At 54.1% G+C, this 15,376-nt stretch overlaps 1 protein-coding gene, 1 long non-coding RNA gene and 1 pseudogene across 4 annotated transcripts in view, besides 3 other annotated features; 2 read left to right on the top strand and 1 right to left on the bottom strand.

The window, feature by feature from the left end:
• ABR (ABR activator of RhoGEF and GTPase) overlaps positions 1-15,376 on the top strand; it is a 226,204-nt gene that overhangs the window by 66,816 nt on the left and 144,012 nt on the right. The window lies entirely within an intron of this gene.
• MRPL14P1 (mitochondrial ribosomal protein L14 pseudogene 1) lies at positions 6,634-7,029 on the bottom strand (annotated as a pseudogene).
• Positions 8,303-8,833: an enhancer, noted in NCBI's record as "H3K27ac-H3K4me1 hESC enhancer chr17:1057367-1057897 (GRCh37/hg19 assembly coordinates)". NCBI's record gives its function as "activates a minimal SCP1, AML or CMV promoter by ChIP-STARR-seq in naive H9 embryonic stem cells {active_cell/tissue: H9 hESC(naive)}" and the evidence as "EXISTENCE:reporter gene assay evidence [ECO:0000049][PMID:30033119]".
• Positions 8,834-9,363: an enhancer, noted in NCBI's record as "H3K27ac-H3K4me1 hESC enhancer chr17:1056837-1057366 (GRCh37/hg19 assembly coordinates)". NCBI's record gives its function as "activates a minimal SCP1, AML or CMV promoter by ChIP-STARR-seq in naive H9 embryonic stem cells {active_cell/tissue: H9 hESC(naive)}" and the evidence as "EXISTENCE:reporter gene assay evidence [ECO:0000049][PMID:30033119]".
• On the top strand, positions 11,016-14,672 carry LOC105371480 (uncharacterized). The gene is made up of 2 exons (XR_001753073.3): positions 11,016-13,241; positions 14,063-14,672. It is a non-coding gene; the product is annotated as an uncharacterized LOC105371480 (long non-coding RNA).
• Positions 14,528-15,027: an enhancer, noted in NCBI's record as "H3K4me1 hESC enhancer chr17:1051001-1051500 (GRCh37/hg19 assembly coordinates)". NCBI's record gives its function as "activates a minimal SCP1, AML or CMV promoter by ChIP-STARR-seq in naive H9 embryonic stem cells {active_cell/tissue: H9 hESC(naive)}" and the evidence as "EXISTENCE:reporter gene assay evidence [ECO:0000049][PMID:30033119]".

The following is a 15,376-nucleotide window of genomic DNA, read 5'->3' as shown; positions in this document are numbered from 1 at the left end:
AGAGACGGGGTTTCACCATGTTGGCCAGGCTGGCCTCAAACTCCTGACCTCGTGATCCACCTGCCTCAGCCTCCCAAAGTGCTGGGATGACAGGTGTGAGCCACTGTGCTTGGCCTAGCCTTTCAAAGTGCTGGGATGACAGGTGTGAGCCGGGGTGCTTGGCCTAGCCTTTCAAAGTGCTGGGATGACAGGTGTGAGCCACTGTGCTTGGCCTAGCCTTTCAAAGTGCTGGGATGAGAGGTGTGAGCCACATCCATTAGGGCCCGTCAGGAAGCAGATGCCACACTCAGGCTGAGGAGTGCGGGGAGAGCTATGACGGAAATGTGGGCAGGGTGAGGGCAGGGTCTGTGTCCTAGACCTGGAGGCAGAGGCCATGTGGTGAGGGCTTCTGGGCAGGAGCGTGCACAGCCCGGGTGGCCCACAGTGGGGAGCTGGGGGTACCACATCCCAGCCTCATGCCCTTGTCTTCCTCTCATCTCCTGCTGGGGTGGAAGAGAGGATGGAGAAGCAGGGAGAGGGGATCCGGAGGGGCCCACGCCAGGAAACCAGGCTGTGTCTAGGTGCAGCTGTTCTTGCCGAGTCTCTCCTGTCTGCAAAGTGAGGGTGATAAACGCCTGTCCCACGTATGTCCTGGGGCTGTTGTAAAAATCAGCTGAGAAGCTGGATGCTGGCGACGTGTGTTCACGGCGCTGTTCTCTGCCAGAGTAAGGGATAATTGTTGCTGTTGATAAACACTCACTGGGTCCTCACCACGAACTGAGTCTTTTCACATCCTCAGTTCTGCTGGGAGTCTCTAACCTCTGGAGGATGTGTCGGCAAAGGAAAGAGAAATTGCAACATTGCAGAGCCTGGATTCGAACCCAGCGTCCCCATGTAAAGTCCGTGCAGCACTGGGAGAGTCACTTAATGAGCCTCCGCAGTGAAATGCATCTCCCGGGCTGGTTTGGGGCTCCCAGGGGAATGGGTGCTATGATTACCATTAGCTAGTGGTGTAGCGGGTGGGAGAGGACCTAACAGGTGCCTTCGGCCCGGCTGTAAAAGGAGTGACTTCTGGCCGGGCGCTGTGGCTCACACCTGTCATCCCAGCACTGTGGGAGGTCGAGGCGGGTGGATCACCTGAGGTCAGGAGTTTGAGACCAGCCTGGCCAACATGGTGAAACCCTGTCTCTACTAAAAATACAAAAATTAGCTGGGTGTGGTGGTACACGCCTGTAATCCTAGCTACTAGAGAAGTTGAGGCAGGAGAATTGTTTGAACCCTGGAGGCGGAGATTGCAATGAGCCAAGATCATGCCAGTGCACTCCAGCCTGGGCTACAGAGTGAGACCTCATCTCAAAAAAAAAAAAAAAAATAGTGACTTTGACCGGGCACGGTGGCTCACACCTGTTATCCTAGCACTTTGGGAGGCAGAGATGGGAGGATTGCTCGAGACTAAGAGTTCAAGACCAGTCCGGGCAACATATCAAGACCCTGTCTCTACAAAAAAAATTTTAAAAAATTAGCCAGGTGTGGTGGAATGCCCCTAGAGTCTAAGCTACTTGGGAGGCTGAGGTGGGAGGATCATGTGAGCCCAGGAGTTTGAGCTTACAGTGAGCTGTGATCACATTCTGCACTCTGGCCTGGGCAAAGGAATGAGACCTTGTCTTAAAAAAAAAAAAGACTGGACTTGTGGGTGACGGGGATTTCCAACAAAACCTTCCCAGGATAGGTGCTGGGAAGGAGATGAGACTCAGAAAAAAAAAAAAGACTGGACTTGTGGGTGACGGGGATTTCCGACAAAACCTTCCCAGGATAGGTGCTGGGAAGGAGATGAGACTCAGACACCCCAGCCTTGTATCCCTGAGAAGGGATGGTGTCCTTGGAACGGGAATCCACATAGATATTTAGCAGGCAGGGCGGTCCAGCGACACCTGCCCGCTTCCCTCAGAAGGCACCGTCTGCAGCACTCGTACAGGTGGCGGGGCCAGAGAGCAAGGCTCGATGGAGTGACGTTGCCTCCACCGCACGGGCGTCCCACCTTGGGAGATTTCCGTATCGCTGAAGTTCCCTTTGTGGAGCGTGGCCTCTGTGAAAAGTGTTAATAATTCACGGTAGAATAGGTTCTCAGATGCGCCACGTCTGTCCTCCCCCACTTCTTCAACAGAGAATGGCAACACCTCCATTAACCTGAATGTGAGCTCCTCGGGGGTGGCCCTGGCTGAGTCATCTGCGCCGCCTCCCTCCCCAGAGCCTCGTACGCGCTCGGCGTCTGGCTGTCGTGTGAACTCAGCTCCACAGGGCAGACATTTGGTCTGTTTGCTGCTCCGTCGTACCCCTGGCACCTGGAACAGTGCCTGAACCATGAGAAGTGTTTGGTGAGTGAATGAATGAATGAAAAATGAATGAACGGACATTCACTGGGATTCAGTTCTCCTTAGAGTCAGAGAGACGTAGGTGTCAATGCTGGTTGCATGAAGCTGTTACATCTTTGAGCCTGTTTCCTCATCTGAATTTGGGGTGTAATTCCTACTGACTGTACAGTTGCAGAGCTGACATTTCATGAACTTTGCTTAAATAATGTGTGAGTGCCTGGCCCATAAGAGGCTGTGTTAGTCCTTTTGTGTGTGTGTGTGTGTGTGTGTGTGGTTTTTTTTTGTTATTGTTTTTTGTTTTTGAGACAGAGTCTTGCTCTGTCGCCTAGGCTGGAGTGCAGTGGTGTAATCTCAGCTCACTGCAGCCTCCACCTCCTGGGTTCAAGCAATTCTTGAACCTTGTACCAGAGAGGAGAGGTACAGCGGCCCTAGACCCCAGGGCTCTGCTCCTATTGGTGTAAGTGTTTCCTCCTGCGCCCTACCTCCCTGTCTCCAGGCAGGGCCTGCTGTGGGTCCCTCTCCTCTCAGCCCCAAGGGACCTGTTCCCTCCAGAAGGCACCTCCCCAAGCGGCGGCAGCGTCACGTGTGAGGCCTGCAGTTCAGGGCCAGCATCCCTCATCCCTCGCCGAGATCAGGCCCTGGAGGGGCTCCCACAGGTCTGACTCAAAGGCACAGGTCCCTGGGCCTCCCTCCTCAGCATCGTGGACCCACGACCAAGGACGTGGAAGGGATTCTGAAGATTAATGGTCGTAAGTGTCACTGGCTTTTACTGAGTGCTTCCTGTGTGTGAGTACTGCGTTCCTACTTCTCCTGTGTGTGAGTACCGCATACTTCCCTTGTGCGTGAGTACCGCATTCCTGCTTCTCCTGTGTGTGAGTACCGCATTCTTACTTCTCCTGTGTGTGAGTACCGCATACTTCCCTTGTGCGTGAGTACCGCATTCTTACTTCTCATGTGTGTGAGTACCGCATTCTTACTTCTCCCGTGTGTGAGTACCGCATTCCTACTTCTCCCGTGTGTGAGTACCGCATTCCTACTTCTCCTGTGTGTGAGTACCGCATACTTCCCTTGTGCGTGAGTACTGCATTCTTACTTCCCTTGTGTGTGAGTACCGCATTCTTACCTCTCCCGTGTGTGAGTACCGCATTCCTACTTCTCCCGTGTGTGAGTACCGCATTCTTACTTCTCCTGTGTGTGAGTACCGCATACTTCCCTTGTGCGTGAGTACTGCATTCTTACTTCCCTTGTGTGTGAGTACCGCATTCTTACCTCTCCCGTGTGTGAGTACCGCATTCCTACTTCTCCCGTGTGTGAGTACCGCATTCTTACTTCTCCTGTATGTGAGTACCGCATTCTTCTCTTGTGTATGAGTACTGCATTCCTACTTCTCTTGGACTCCTGAGAGTTCCATGACTAAGACAGTAGTTTAATATAGTTGGTTTCCTTTGTCATCCTGCATAGTTTAGTTTTACGCATTTCAAAACATTCTTCAGAGAAAGGTCCCTTGGCTTCACCAGGCTGCTGTGGGTCCAAGGCACGAAAGCATGAAGAGTCTCTGCTCATCGCCAGAGGACTGTGAGTCCCAAACAGGCTCCCTGTAGTCTGAACAGGCTTCAGCCTTCTCTGGGTAATCCTAGGCTGTGGTTACAACGGTGGCTTTGGCTGCACTGGGAGGCAGGAGATCTGGGTTTTTATTCTACCTCCGCCACTCCCATGCCAGCCCTCTGTGTCCTCAGCTGTGAAATGTAAGGGTTGGACTAGCCCTACGCACTTTTGATTCCTTTTTTTTTTTTAAGACAGAGTCTTGCTCTGTCACCCAGGCTGGAGTGCAGTGGCACGGTCTTGGCTCATTGCAACTTCCAACTCCCAGGTTCAAGCAATTCTCCTACCTCAGCCTCCCGAGTAGCTGGGACTACAGGTGCCCACCATCACGCCTGGCTAATTTTTGTATTTTTAGTACAGACAAGGTTTCATCATGTTGGCCAAGCTGGTCTTGAACTCCTGACCTCAGGCGATCTGCCTGTCTCGGCCTCCCAAAGTGCTGGGATTACAGGTGTGAGCCACCGCACCCAGCCATTTTCTGTGTTATATGTGAAATGTAGCAATATGCAAAACAGCACATACAATGTCTGGGTTTGGTTTACTAAAGACTAACGAGACGGCTGGGCGCGGTGGTTCACGCCTGTAATCCCAGCAGTCTGGGAGGCCGAGGCGGCTGGATTGCCTGAGTCCAGGAGTTTGAGACCAGCCTGGGCAACATGGCGAAACTCCATCTCTACTTTAAAAAAAATAAATAAATACAAATTTAAAAAAAGAATAAAAAGAAGAAGAATTACATTGTAAGCATGTTCCTGTGAGCTGCCCTTTTCTGGTTAAATTTATGTTTTTAGGTTCATCTTCGCTCCTGCCTGTAGCTCTAAACTGTGCACCGTCAAAGCTGCCTGGAATTCCATTGCAGGAATAAATGGCGGCTTACTCAGGGGTGGTCACGCTCCTTCCACCTGTTGGAAGAGAATCCATAGTGGAAAATCATTTCATGCTGCAACGCGACACACATACGTACATCTGCACACACACATATACCCATGCACGCTTGAAATGAGCCTCATAAAGTAATACCTGCCCTTATTAGGCGAGATAATCCTTTTCAATCCATTCTAGAAGGTGACCTACCAAACTGCACGATCCCTTCCTAGGCTGACCTGCAGCATGAATGATACGGGGCTGAGTGCACCCCATCGTGGGTCTGCCTGGGTGCGCCTGAGGTTCTGTGCCTGGCAGGCAGGCTCAGGTCATGGTCCTGCTGATCCCACCAGGCTGTCCGCACGCATTGGCGTGAGAGCGGTGTGCCTGCCGGTTCCTTTCCTTCATCTGCCGGGATTGTTGGCTTCCCCCTGTTCCGCTGGGCGTGTTCCAGCAGCGGCTCTTCCCTTGTAGTTGCTGCTTCTCATGGCCTGTGGCCTGAGGGACCAGCCCCCTAGGCATGTTAGAACTGTGTGCACTGAGGTCGGGCGCGGTGGCTCACGCCTGTAATCCCAGCACTTTGGGAGGCCGAGGCAGGCAGATCACATGAGGTCAGGAGTTCGAGACCAGCCTGGCCAACATGGTGAGACCCTGTCTCTATTAAAAATATAAAAATTAGCCGGGCGTGGTGGCGCACACCTGTAATCCCAGCTATTTGGGAGGCTGAGGCAGGAGAATTACTTGAACCCGGGAGGTGGAGGTTGCAGTGAGCTAAGGTTGCACCTTTGCACTCCAGCCTGGGCGACAGAGTGAGACTTCATCTCAAAAAAAAAAAAAAAAAAAGTAATGTGCGCTGTAGCACGACTGACTTAGTAGCAAGAGAGGGTAGTGTCTGAGACCAGACTGCCCGGGTTCCAAGCTTTGCCACTCAGCAGCTGTGTGACCTTGGGCCAGTCATCTGACCTATCTGAGCTTCGGTTTCCTCATCCGTAAAATTGAGATAATATTAGTGCCTGCCTCCTGGCGCGGTGTGAGGCTGCGGTGAGTTAACTTATCGTATGTGTGTGTGGACTGTTGTTATTACTGAGCCTGCCTGTGCGTCAGAGCCTGACATTGATCTAATTCTTTGCTGGTATCCCTGGACACAGTGGCTGTGTTGAAATGAGCTCAAAACCCTCGGCTAAAAGGAGGTTGGAGGTGGACGGAAGAGCCACTTCTCAGGCTGCCTGTATTCAGATCCCAGCCTCACCATTAAGTAACTACGTGACTATGAGCAAGTTAGTCCATCTCCCTGTGCCTCAGTTTACTCCTCTATGAAATGGGGATAGTAGTGGAACTCACTATTCACCAAGTAATTGTTAAGAGGATTACATAAGATAATGCACATAAAGCTTTTTTTTTTTCTTTTTGAGACAGAGTCTCTCTCTGTCACCCAGGCTGGAGTGCAGTGGCACGATCTCCACTCACTGCAACCTCCGCCTCCCGGGTTCAGGTGATTCTCCTGCCTCAACCTCCCAAGTAGCTGGGATTGTAGGTGTGCGCCACCACGTCTGGCTAATTTTTGTATTTTTAGTAGAGACGAGTTTTCACCACGTTGGCCAGGCTGGTCTTGAACTCCTGGCGTCAGGTGATCCTTCCACCTCGGCCTCCCGAAGTGCTGGCATTGCAGGCGTGAGCCACCACAGCATTTAGCTCTGCCGTCTACCCGGCTACCCAGCCAGGAACTCAGGAGAGGCCTTTTTTTTTTCTTCACATGAAAAGAGGTTTATTTTCTCACTGGACACTGTCGCCCATGTGAAGGGAGCAGCCACCTGGCCCCAGGTTCCCTCTCAACAAAGGCTCAGTCCTCAGAATGGCTCCTCATGAGCCCCCTGCAGCCGGAGGCCTAGGCTCTTCCCCACAGCATGTGCCCCTTAGATACCCGTCTGCCCTCTGGTGTAGGCTGGTGGGCATGGGTGTCTGAATTTGGGTCCCCACAGCACCCCCATTGAGGATCACAGTGTTGGAGTTGAACCTGGGGCCACCTGGGTACCAGGACACTGTGCTCCACGGTGAGCACCTCTCCTGTCCCTCGATGGCCAGCAGGATCTGGTCACCCACCTACCTGCCACCCTATCCTTTTTTTTTTTTTTTTTTTTGAGACGGAATTTCGCTCTTTTGCCCAGGCTGGAGTGCAATGGCGCAATCTCGGCTCACTGCAACCTCCGCCTCCTGGATTTTCCTGCCTCAGCCTCCCGAGTAGCTGGGATTACAGGCACCTGCCACCATGCCTGGCTAATTTTTGTAGTTTTAGTAGAGACAGGGTTTTACTATGTTGGTTAGGCTGGTCTCAAACTCCTGACCTTGTGATCTGCCCGCCTCGGCCTCCCAAAGTGCTGGGATTGCAGGTGTGAGCCACTGCGGCCGGCCTAGATGTCTTTTTATCGTTGAGTTGTAAGATTTTTAAAATATAGTCTAGATATGTTTTCTTCCCCTCTGCACATTGTCTTTTCACTTTCTTGATGGGGTCCTTTGAAGCAAAGAAGTGTTCATTGATGACGTGCGGTTCCCCCGTGCTCTCTGTTGCTTGTGCTTCTGGTGTCGTATGTAAGAATCCTTTGCCAAGTCCAAGACCATGAAGATCTACCCCCAGGTTTTCTTCTACATGTTGTTTAGCTTTAGCTGTTACATTTAGGTCTTTGATCCATTTAGAGTTATTTTTTGAATATGGTAGAAAGTAAAAGTTCAACTTTTACATGTGGCAATCTGGTTGTCCCAGCACCATTTGGTGAAAAGATTCTTCTTTCCCCATGAAGGGTCTTGGTGCCCTTGTTGACAATCCGTCGACCATAGATATGTGGGTTCCTTTCTGGACTCACTCAACGTGACTCCGTGGATCTGTGTGTCTGGAAAGATGCCCCCAGCCTGACAGTTTACCTTCTTTGCCCATCTGCTCCAGTCATCCTGGAGGCTCCCATAGTACACATTGCTGGGACATCCCAGAGCTGAACACCATCTCTCAAGTGGCCTCAGAGCTAATCACTTCCCACAGGCATCGAGGCGACCACAGAGAGGGCCCAGTGTGACTGGCTGGCCCCCAGGGCGCCCGGGAAGGGATCTGCAGATCCCTCCTCCTGGCACAGCGTCCTGGCAGGAGGCACGGTCCCAGAGCAGGCCCTGTTTGTGCTGAGGCCCCGCCAGGATTGGGTGGATGCCTTGGTGAGGGCCAGGTAGGAGGGAACAAATGCAGGGTGGGAAGTGGCTGCTGGAATGGGGAAGGGAGCGGGGCCTGCAGGAGGGAAGCATTCTTGGCACTAGTGGCATCGTCACCAGGACACCGGCCTTGGGAGGGCGAGCACTACATCCATGGGTAGGCGCCGGAGCCCTGAGGACACGGCATTGCCAAGCTCTTGTCCTGTGGCTTCCTTCCCTGTGTCCGCAGTGTGTGGGGGGTGGGCGGGCAGGCAGGACGAGGTGACCCCCATCCTTTCTGTGTGCTCGTTCCATGAAATTGGGGGATGTGGATGCTTGAACGGGCTCTCAGCTAGTGTGCCTTCCGTGCAGAGGAGGTAACACTCCCCAGGGCAGCCAGACACCCTTGTGGAGTGGGATGGAAAGCTGGGAGGAAGGGGCTGGCCGGCACCATGGAGATATTTTGGTTTGCAGGAGGATTCTGGGCTTTATGAGCACTTTAATGCAACCAGGGCAGGCAGCACCACGGGACGGGAACTGTAAGCTGCACCTGTTGAATTCTGAAGGTCCGGGCTGCCCGTGGGCCCCGGGAAGTGGGGGTGCCCAGCTTGTGGGGTGCAGGCGGGGAGGGGACCGTGTGGTGGTGGAGACGCCATGGTACAGCCTGTCTCCCGATCCCCCAGGTCCCCTGAGGCCTTAGAGATGAATCTCCCAGAAGTGGCAGCCGCGGCAGGGACACCAGGATCATGAAGGACCTGGGAGGTGAACCCGCTGCTCAGTTCCTGGCCCTCGTCCCTTAGACCCAGTCCTCGGAGCAGAACTGGGGGAAGCTGAGATTTCTGTGGGCTGCGTGCCCACCTCCTCCCTCTTCGTTGGTCCTCCCACGCGCCCGCCCCCGAGTGGGAGCAGAGCCATGTGAGCTGAGTTGGAGCTGCTCGCTGCCGAGAATTGCATCAGCCCCGCCTGGCAGGCTGGAGCGGGAGCCTGTTGCTATGGTGACCACCAGGCTTCAAACCAGTGAGAAGGATGAGATGGTTGCCGGGCGAGGTTTTCTCACCATGTGATGCGTGTGACAGGCTGACAGGTTCGGTAGACCTGGACCCAGCCCTCCCGTAGGTGTGCCTGGACCCCCAGCCCTCCCGCAGGTGTGCCTGGACCCCCAGCCCTCCCGCAGGTGTGCCTGGACCCCCAGCCCTCCCGTAGGTGTGCCTGGACCCCCAGCCCTCCCGCAGGTGTGCCTGGACCCCCAGCCCTCCCGCAGGTGTGCCTGGGTCCCCAGCCCTCCCGTAGGTGTGCCTGGACCCCCAGCCCTCCCGCAGGTGTGCCTGGGTCCCCAGCCCTCCCGCAGGTGTGCCTGGACCCCCAGCCCTCCCGCAGGTGTGCCTGGGTCCCCAGCCCTCCCCGCAGGTGTGCCTGGACCCCCAGCCCTCCCGTAGGTGTGCCTGGACCCCCAGCCCTCCCGCAGGTGTGCCTGGACCCCCAGCCCTCCCGCAGGTGTGCCTGGACCCCCAGCCCTCCCGCAGGTGTGCCTGGATCCCCAGCCCTCCCGCAGGTGTGCCATCTGCTGGGGGGCATGATGGGCACTGTCCCAAAAGCCATCTGGGCATTGGCCAGGCTGGGGGGTATGACTGAGGGACACAGGGGGCCACGCCAGGCCCATGTAGTGTCAGGGGGCCTTCCTTGGTCCTTCTGCCTAGTTGTGGGGGAAGGGGTATGGTGGGGATTTGACCAAGTGCACCTGATGATGGGGCAAGAAAGGGGTCCAGACTGGTCCCCATCTCCCAGAACAGAGGGCGGCTCTGGATCACAGCTGATTAAACCTGCCCAGGCTGTGTCAAAAATTTTTTTTTTAACGGAGTTTCACTCTTGTTGCTCAGGCTGGAGTGCAATGGTGCAATCTCGGCTCATTGGTTCAGGCGATTCTCCTGCCTCAGCCCAAGTAGCTGGGACTACAGGCGTGCACCACCATGCCTGGCTAATTTTGTATTGTCAGTAGAGACAGGTTTCACTGTGTTGGCCAGGCTGGTCTCAAACTCCTGACCTCATGTGATCCACCCACCTTGGCCTCCCAAAGTGCTGGGATTACAGGCATGACCCACCGCGCCCGGCCTGTGTCAGAATTTTTTTTGTTAACCACGTGACAAAGCTCATCATCTTGCTAAAGATAACAGAGCGCTTGGCCAAGCCAGTGCAATGCCTGGGTTCAGATCTCCTCTCTCATCTTTTGCCTACAACGGGAAAGGAGGTAAAAAGTCTGTGTTCCAGGTGTGCTGAGCACTTGTTGTGTGCCGGGAGTTGTAGTAGACACTGTCCTGTCTTTTTTTTTTTTTGAGACAGAGTTTCACTCTTGTTCTCCAGGCTGGAGTGCAGTGGCGCGATCTCGGCTCACTGTAACTTCCACCTCCTGGACTCAAGTGATTCTTCTGCTTCAGCCTCCCGAGTAGCTGAGATTACAGGCACGCACCACCACGCCCGGCTAATTTTTTGTATTTTTAGTAGAGATGGGGTTTCCCCATGTTGACCAGGCTGGTCTCAAACTCCTGACCTCAGGTGATCCACCCACCTCAGCCTCCCAAAGTGCTGGGATTACAGGCATCAGCCACCAGCCCAGCCTGTCCTGTCTTTTTTTTTTTTTTTTTGAGACAGAGTCTCGCTCTGTAGCCCAGGCTGGAGCGCAGTGGCGCGATCTCGGCTCACTGCAAGCTCTAGGTTCACGCCATTCTCCTGCCTCAGCCTCCCGAGTAGATGGGACTACAGGCACCTGCCACCACACCTAGCTAACTTTTTTGTATTTTTAGTAGAGACGGGGTTTCCCCGTGTTAACCAGGATGGTCTCGATTTCCTGACCTCGTGATCCACCTGCTTTGGCCTCCCAAAGTGCTGGGACTACAGGTGCTCACCACCACGCCTGGCTAACTTTTTTGTATTTTTAGTAGAGGCGGGGTTTCCCCGTGTTAGCCAGGATGGTCTCGATCTCCTGACCTCGTGATCCACCTGCTTCGGCCTCTCAAAGTGCTGGGACTACAGGCGCTCATCACCACGCCCGGCTAACTTTTTTGTATTTTTAGTAGAGACGGAGTTTCCTCGTGTTAGCCGGGATGGATGTCCTGTCTTTCTATTGTATCCTCTCCCTCACTTGGGGAGGAGGCAGTGATGTTCCTGTTTTGCAGAAGAGCCGGATCGGGCAGCCAGAGAGTTGAAGTGACCTGCCCAAAAAGGGTTCAACCTAAATCCTTGGGCTTCCTGTCCAGGGCTCTGTAGGATGTCAGCCATCCCCAGAATCAGGCATTCTCAGGATGTCCTGTGAAGAAACACACTTCTCCATCCCCTGCTGGAAAAACCATGACAATCTCTCCGCAGGGAAGAACGCGGCTTTGAGGTGGGGAGTGGCTGACCGAGGCCCTTTGTGGTTTCTAAATGGCAGAATGAGAGAGGTGGGGGCGTTGAGGGTGTCACGCCCAGGAAGCAGTTGGGGAGGGCAGGGCTGGACACTGACCAAGCCTAGCCTGGGTGCAGGAACTGAGCTTGGGATTTTTGCTTGGGGCCCTCTAGGGATTAGGATGAATTGTCAGATGAGTTCTCAGCAGACAGGGCTTTAGGGAACTGGTCCAGGGAAATAAGACGTAGAGCCAGAGGGGAACCAGGGCCTCTGTGAGAGCCTGGCAGTCATGAGATCTGACTTGCTGAGCTTCTGAGGTGTGGTAATAGGAACTAATCCTCTCTTCGGTGTGCTTTAGATGTTTACTCGTTTCATCCTCACAGAAACCCTGTGAACTTGGGTGCTACTGTTACTCCATGTTGAAGGTAAAACAGAGGCACAGAGAGGTTATGTGACTTGCCCAAGGTCACACAGCTGGTAAGGGGTGGAGCCTGTGATTCAGACCCAGTCAGTCTGGCTGCAGAGCATGAGCTCTGAATCAAATGTTCTCCTGCCTCCATTCTTACCTTTTAGAAAGATGACAGCAAGTTGCATACGTGACCTCCTCACCCCCAGGAGTGTGTGTGTGCACATGTGTATATATATGCACACATACGCGCACCAGTAGCTCAGCAAGGGAGGGAGGCTCAGGAATGGGCTCGTGGGCCTCTGTGTGTTGATGGCTGGGTTTGCAGAACCTAGGGAGTCCGGCGTCTGTGTGCGTGATGCTCCTCCCTTCGTCCCTCCCTGCTCGCGTGGTTCCCAGTGGGTGGGGTGCCCTGTTGCCTCTGGTTTAGAGCCGTGCAGGATGTTACCACAGACCGTGTACCAGGAGTGTTCACCCAAACTTGTGAAGGGCCCTGGACTCCCAGGAAGGAGCTCAGATCTAGGACTGGGAGTGGACGGCGGCCGCCGGAGGAGTGAGAGGGGGCAGTGCGCTTGCCATGCCCGGGGCCCGTCCTCCTGGGCCTCTCTCGGCGCTTGGGCAACCTGTGTATTGCCCACACGTGTGCCGCTGCTTGCAGCTCCTGGCCACCACCCTCCTCTTTGTGTCTGGACGAATCTGACTGCTCTGAGCACCTCTTCAGAGTGGAATCATACAGGACAGTGTCTACCGCAACTCCCAGCACACAGCAAGTGCTCAGCACACCCGGAACACAGACTTCTTACCTCCTTTCCCATTGTGGGCAAAAGATGAGAGAGGAGATCTGAGTGCAGACATCGCGCTGGCTTGGCCAAGTGCTCTGTTATCTTTAGCAAGATGAAGAGCTTTGTCAGGTGGGTAACAAAAAAAATTCTGACACAGGCCGGGCGCGGTGGCTCACGTCTGTAATCTCAGCGCTTTGAGAAGTGTGTCAGCCCTTGAGAAGACACCGGGCAAGCTGGCCTTCCTCTCGGTGTCTCTCCCAGGCCGGGACTATGGGGAGAAATCATAACAACAGGGACAACAGCAGTGACAACGTCAGTGACGACAATAACAGCCACTAACGTTATACCACGTGCCAGGCCCTGTTCTTAGAACTTCGCCTGGACTAACTCATTCAACTGTCACAAAAGCTGCATGGGATGATGTTGTTATGTTATTATCTTCATTTGACAAATGAGGACACTAAAGCACAGAGAGATGAAGCAACTTGCCCCAGGACACACAGCTAAAACTGGGAGTGGAATTCGGAGAGCCTGGCTCCTGGCATTTGGAGCTGACAGGTGCCCGGCAACCCCTACCTATGGCCGAGCTGAGCTCGTCTTGTGCCAGGGAGTTGGCGGCAAAACAGAAATGAGCTCTGGGCCGGGCACAGTGCCTCACGCCTGTAACCCCAGCACTTTGAGAGGCTAAGGTGGGTAGATCACCTGAGGTCAGGAGTTCGAGACCAGCTGGCCAACATGGTGAAACCCCATCTCTACTAAAAATACAAAAATTAGCTGGGTGTGGTGGTGCATGCCTGTAATCCCACCTACTCGGGAGGCTGAGACAGGAGAATCTCTTGAACCCGGGAGGTGGAAGTTGCTGAGATCACACCACCGCACTCCAGCCTGGGTGACAGAGTGAGATTCTGTCTCAAAAAAAAAAAAAAAAACTAAAACCAGAAATGAATTCTGGAGGTGGGATCTTCCTTTGTAATTCAGAAGGTGACTCCCAACCCCTCTTCAGAAGCTGGGTGGGCTCCAGGCCTGGTTCAGCCCCCTGGCCTCCTGTCGATACCCATGGGGGGGTCTCTGTCCCTGGTATTACTCCTTTCCTGTCTACTTTTTTTTTAAATTTAGATTTTATTCTATTTTTTTAAATTATGGCAAAATAGGCCGGGCGCTAGGTAGCTCACGCCTGTAATCCCAGCACTTTGGGAGGCCGAGGTGGGTGGACCACGAGGTCAGGAGATCGAGACCATCCCGGCTAACACGGTGAAACCCCGTCTCTACTAAAAATACAAAAAAATTTAGCCAGGCATGGTGGCAGGCACCTGTCGTCCCAGCTACTTGGGAGGCTGAGGCAGGAGAATGGCGTGAACCCAGGAGGCGGAGCTTGCAGTGAGCCGAGATGGCGCCACTGCACTCCAGCCTGGGTGACAGAGTGAGACTCTGTCTCAAAAAAAACAAAAACAAAAACAAAAAACAAAAGAAAATCATGGCAAAATACACATGCCTAAAATTTTCCATCCAGTGTACGCATCAGTGGCCCGAGGCACGTTCACACTCTGGTGCGGCCATCAGCACCGTCATCTCCGGAACTCTCACCTGGCTAAACTGAGACTCCGCATCTGTGAAACCAGCGCACCAGGGACCGGCTTCGTGGAAGACACTTTTTCCACGGACCGGGGAAGGGTGGGGAGCGCTTTCGGGATGGAACTGCGATCCCTCGCACGCGCAGATCACGACAGGGCTCACGCTCCTACGAGAACCTAATGCCGCTGCTGCTCGGATGGGAAGTGGGGTTCAGGGGGTGACGCTTGCTCACCCACCACTCACCTCCGGCTGTGCATCCTGGTTCCCAACAGGCCACGGACTGGTGCCGGTCCATGCCCGGGGGGGCTGGGGACCCCTGTATTGAACAACAGCTCCCCGTTTCTCCAGCCCCCAGCTCCTGGCCACCACCCTCCTACTTTCTGACTTGATGAATCTAACTGCTCTAAGCACCTCATCCGAGTGGAATCATGTGGTATTTGCCTTTCTGTGACCAGCTTCTTTCACGTAGCCTAATGCCCCCAAGGTTCATCGATGTCAGAATTGGCCTGTGTCGGAATATAAGCCGAATAATATCCGTTTTATGTAAAGGCCGCGTTTTGTGTATCCATTCATCCACCCATAGACACTTGAGGTGTTTCTGTTTTTTGGCAAGTGTCAATAATGCTCTTAGGAATGCGGGTATTTCCCCGACAACCTTTGGGCTTACTTCACTCATCAGCAGCAAGCAGGCCATCCTTGAAGCTTACCGTGGGGTGGGCCCATTGACCAGCCTGGGGAGAGTGGGTGGGTCATTGACCAGCCTGGGGCCATCATGCTGGCTGGGAAGGCGTGGCCCTCAGGTGCCAGCTTCTACCCAACACTAAGCCGTTGGTGCTCCTGGCACTTACTTACTTGCTGGAAGACATTCCACCTTGCTTTCCCGTCTTTCCCCAGAAGAGGGTGCTGGGTTTCTGCTTCTCTCCTGAATGGGAAAAGGGCGGCTGCAGCTTGCCATGAGGCTGGCGTGGGTGGGGTTAGGAGAAAGGACTGTCAGGTGCTGTGTTGGGAAGTGTGTGTGGAGCTTCCGTGAGGCTGGGGTTGGCCTTCTGAGCATACATGGAAGGGCTGAGTGGGAGCAGGGTGTTAGGGTAGCCGGTCATGCCGTAGAACCAAATTAATGCTGAAGGCCGGGCGTGGTAGCTCACACTAATCCCGGCACTTTGGGAGGCTGAGGCGGGTGGGTCACCTGAGGTCAGGAGTTTGAGACCAGCCTGGCCAACATTGGGAAATCCCATCTCTACTAAAAATATAA

This window comes from Homo sapiens, chromosome 17 (genome assembly GCF_000001405.40).
Source record: "Homo sapiens chromosome 17, GRCh38.p14 Primary Assembly".
Classification (NCBI taxonomy): domain Eukaryota; kingdom Metazoa; phylum Chordata; class Mammalia; order Primates; family Hominidae; genus Homo; species Homo sapiens.
The sequence above is the reverse complement of the archived record's forward strand: the minus strand, read 5'-3'. Positions and strand labels throughout refer to the sequence as shown.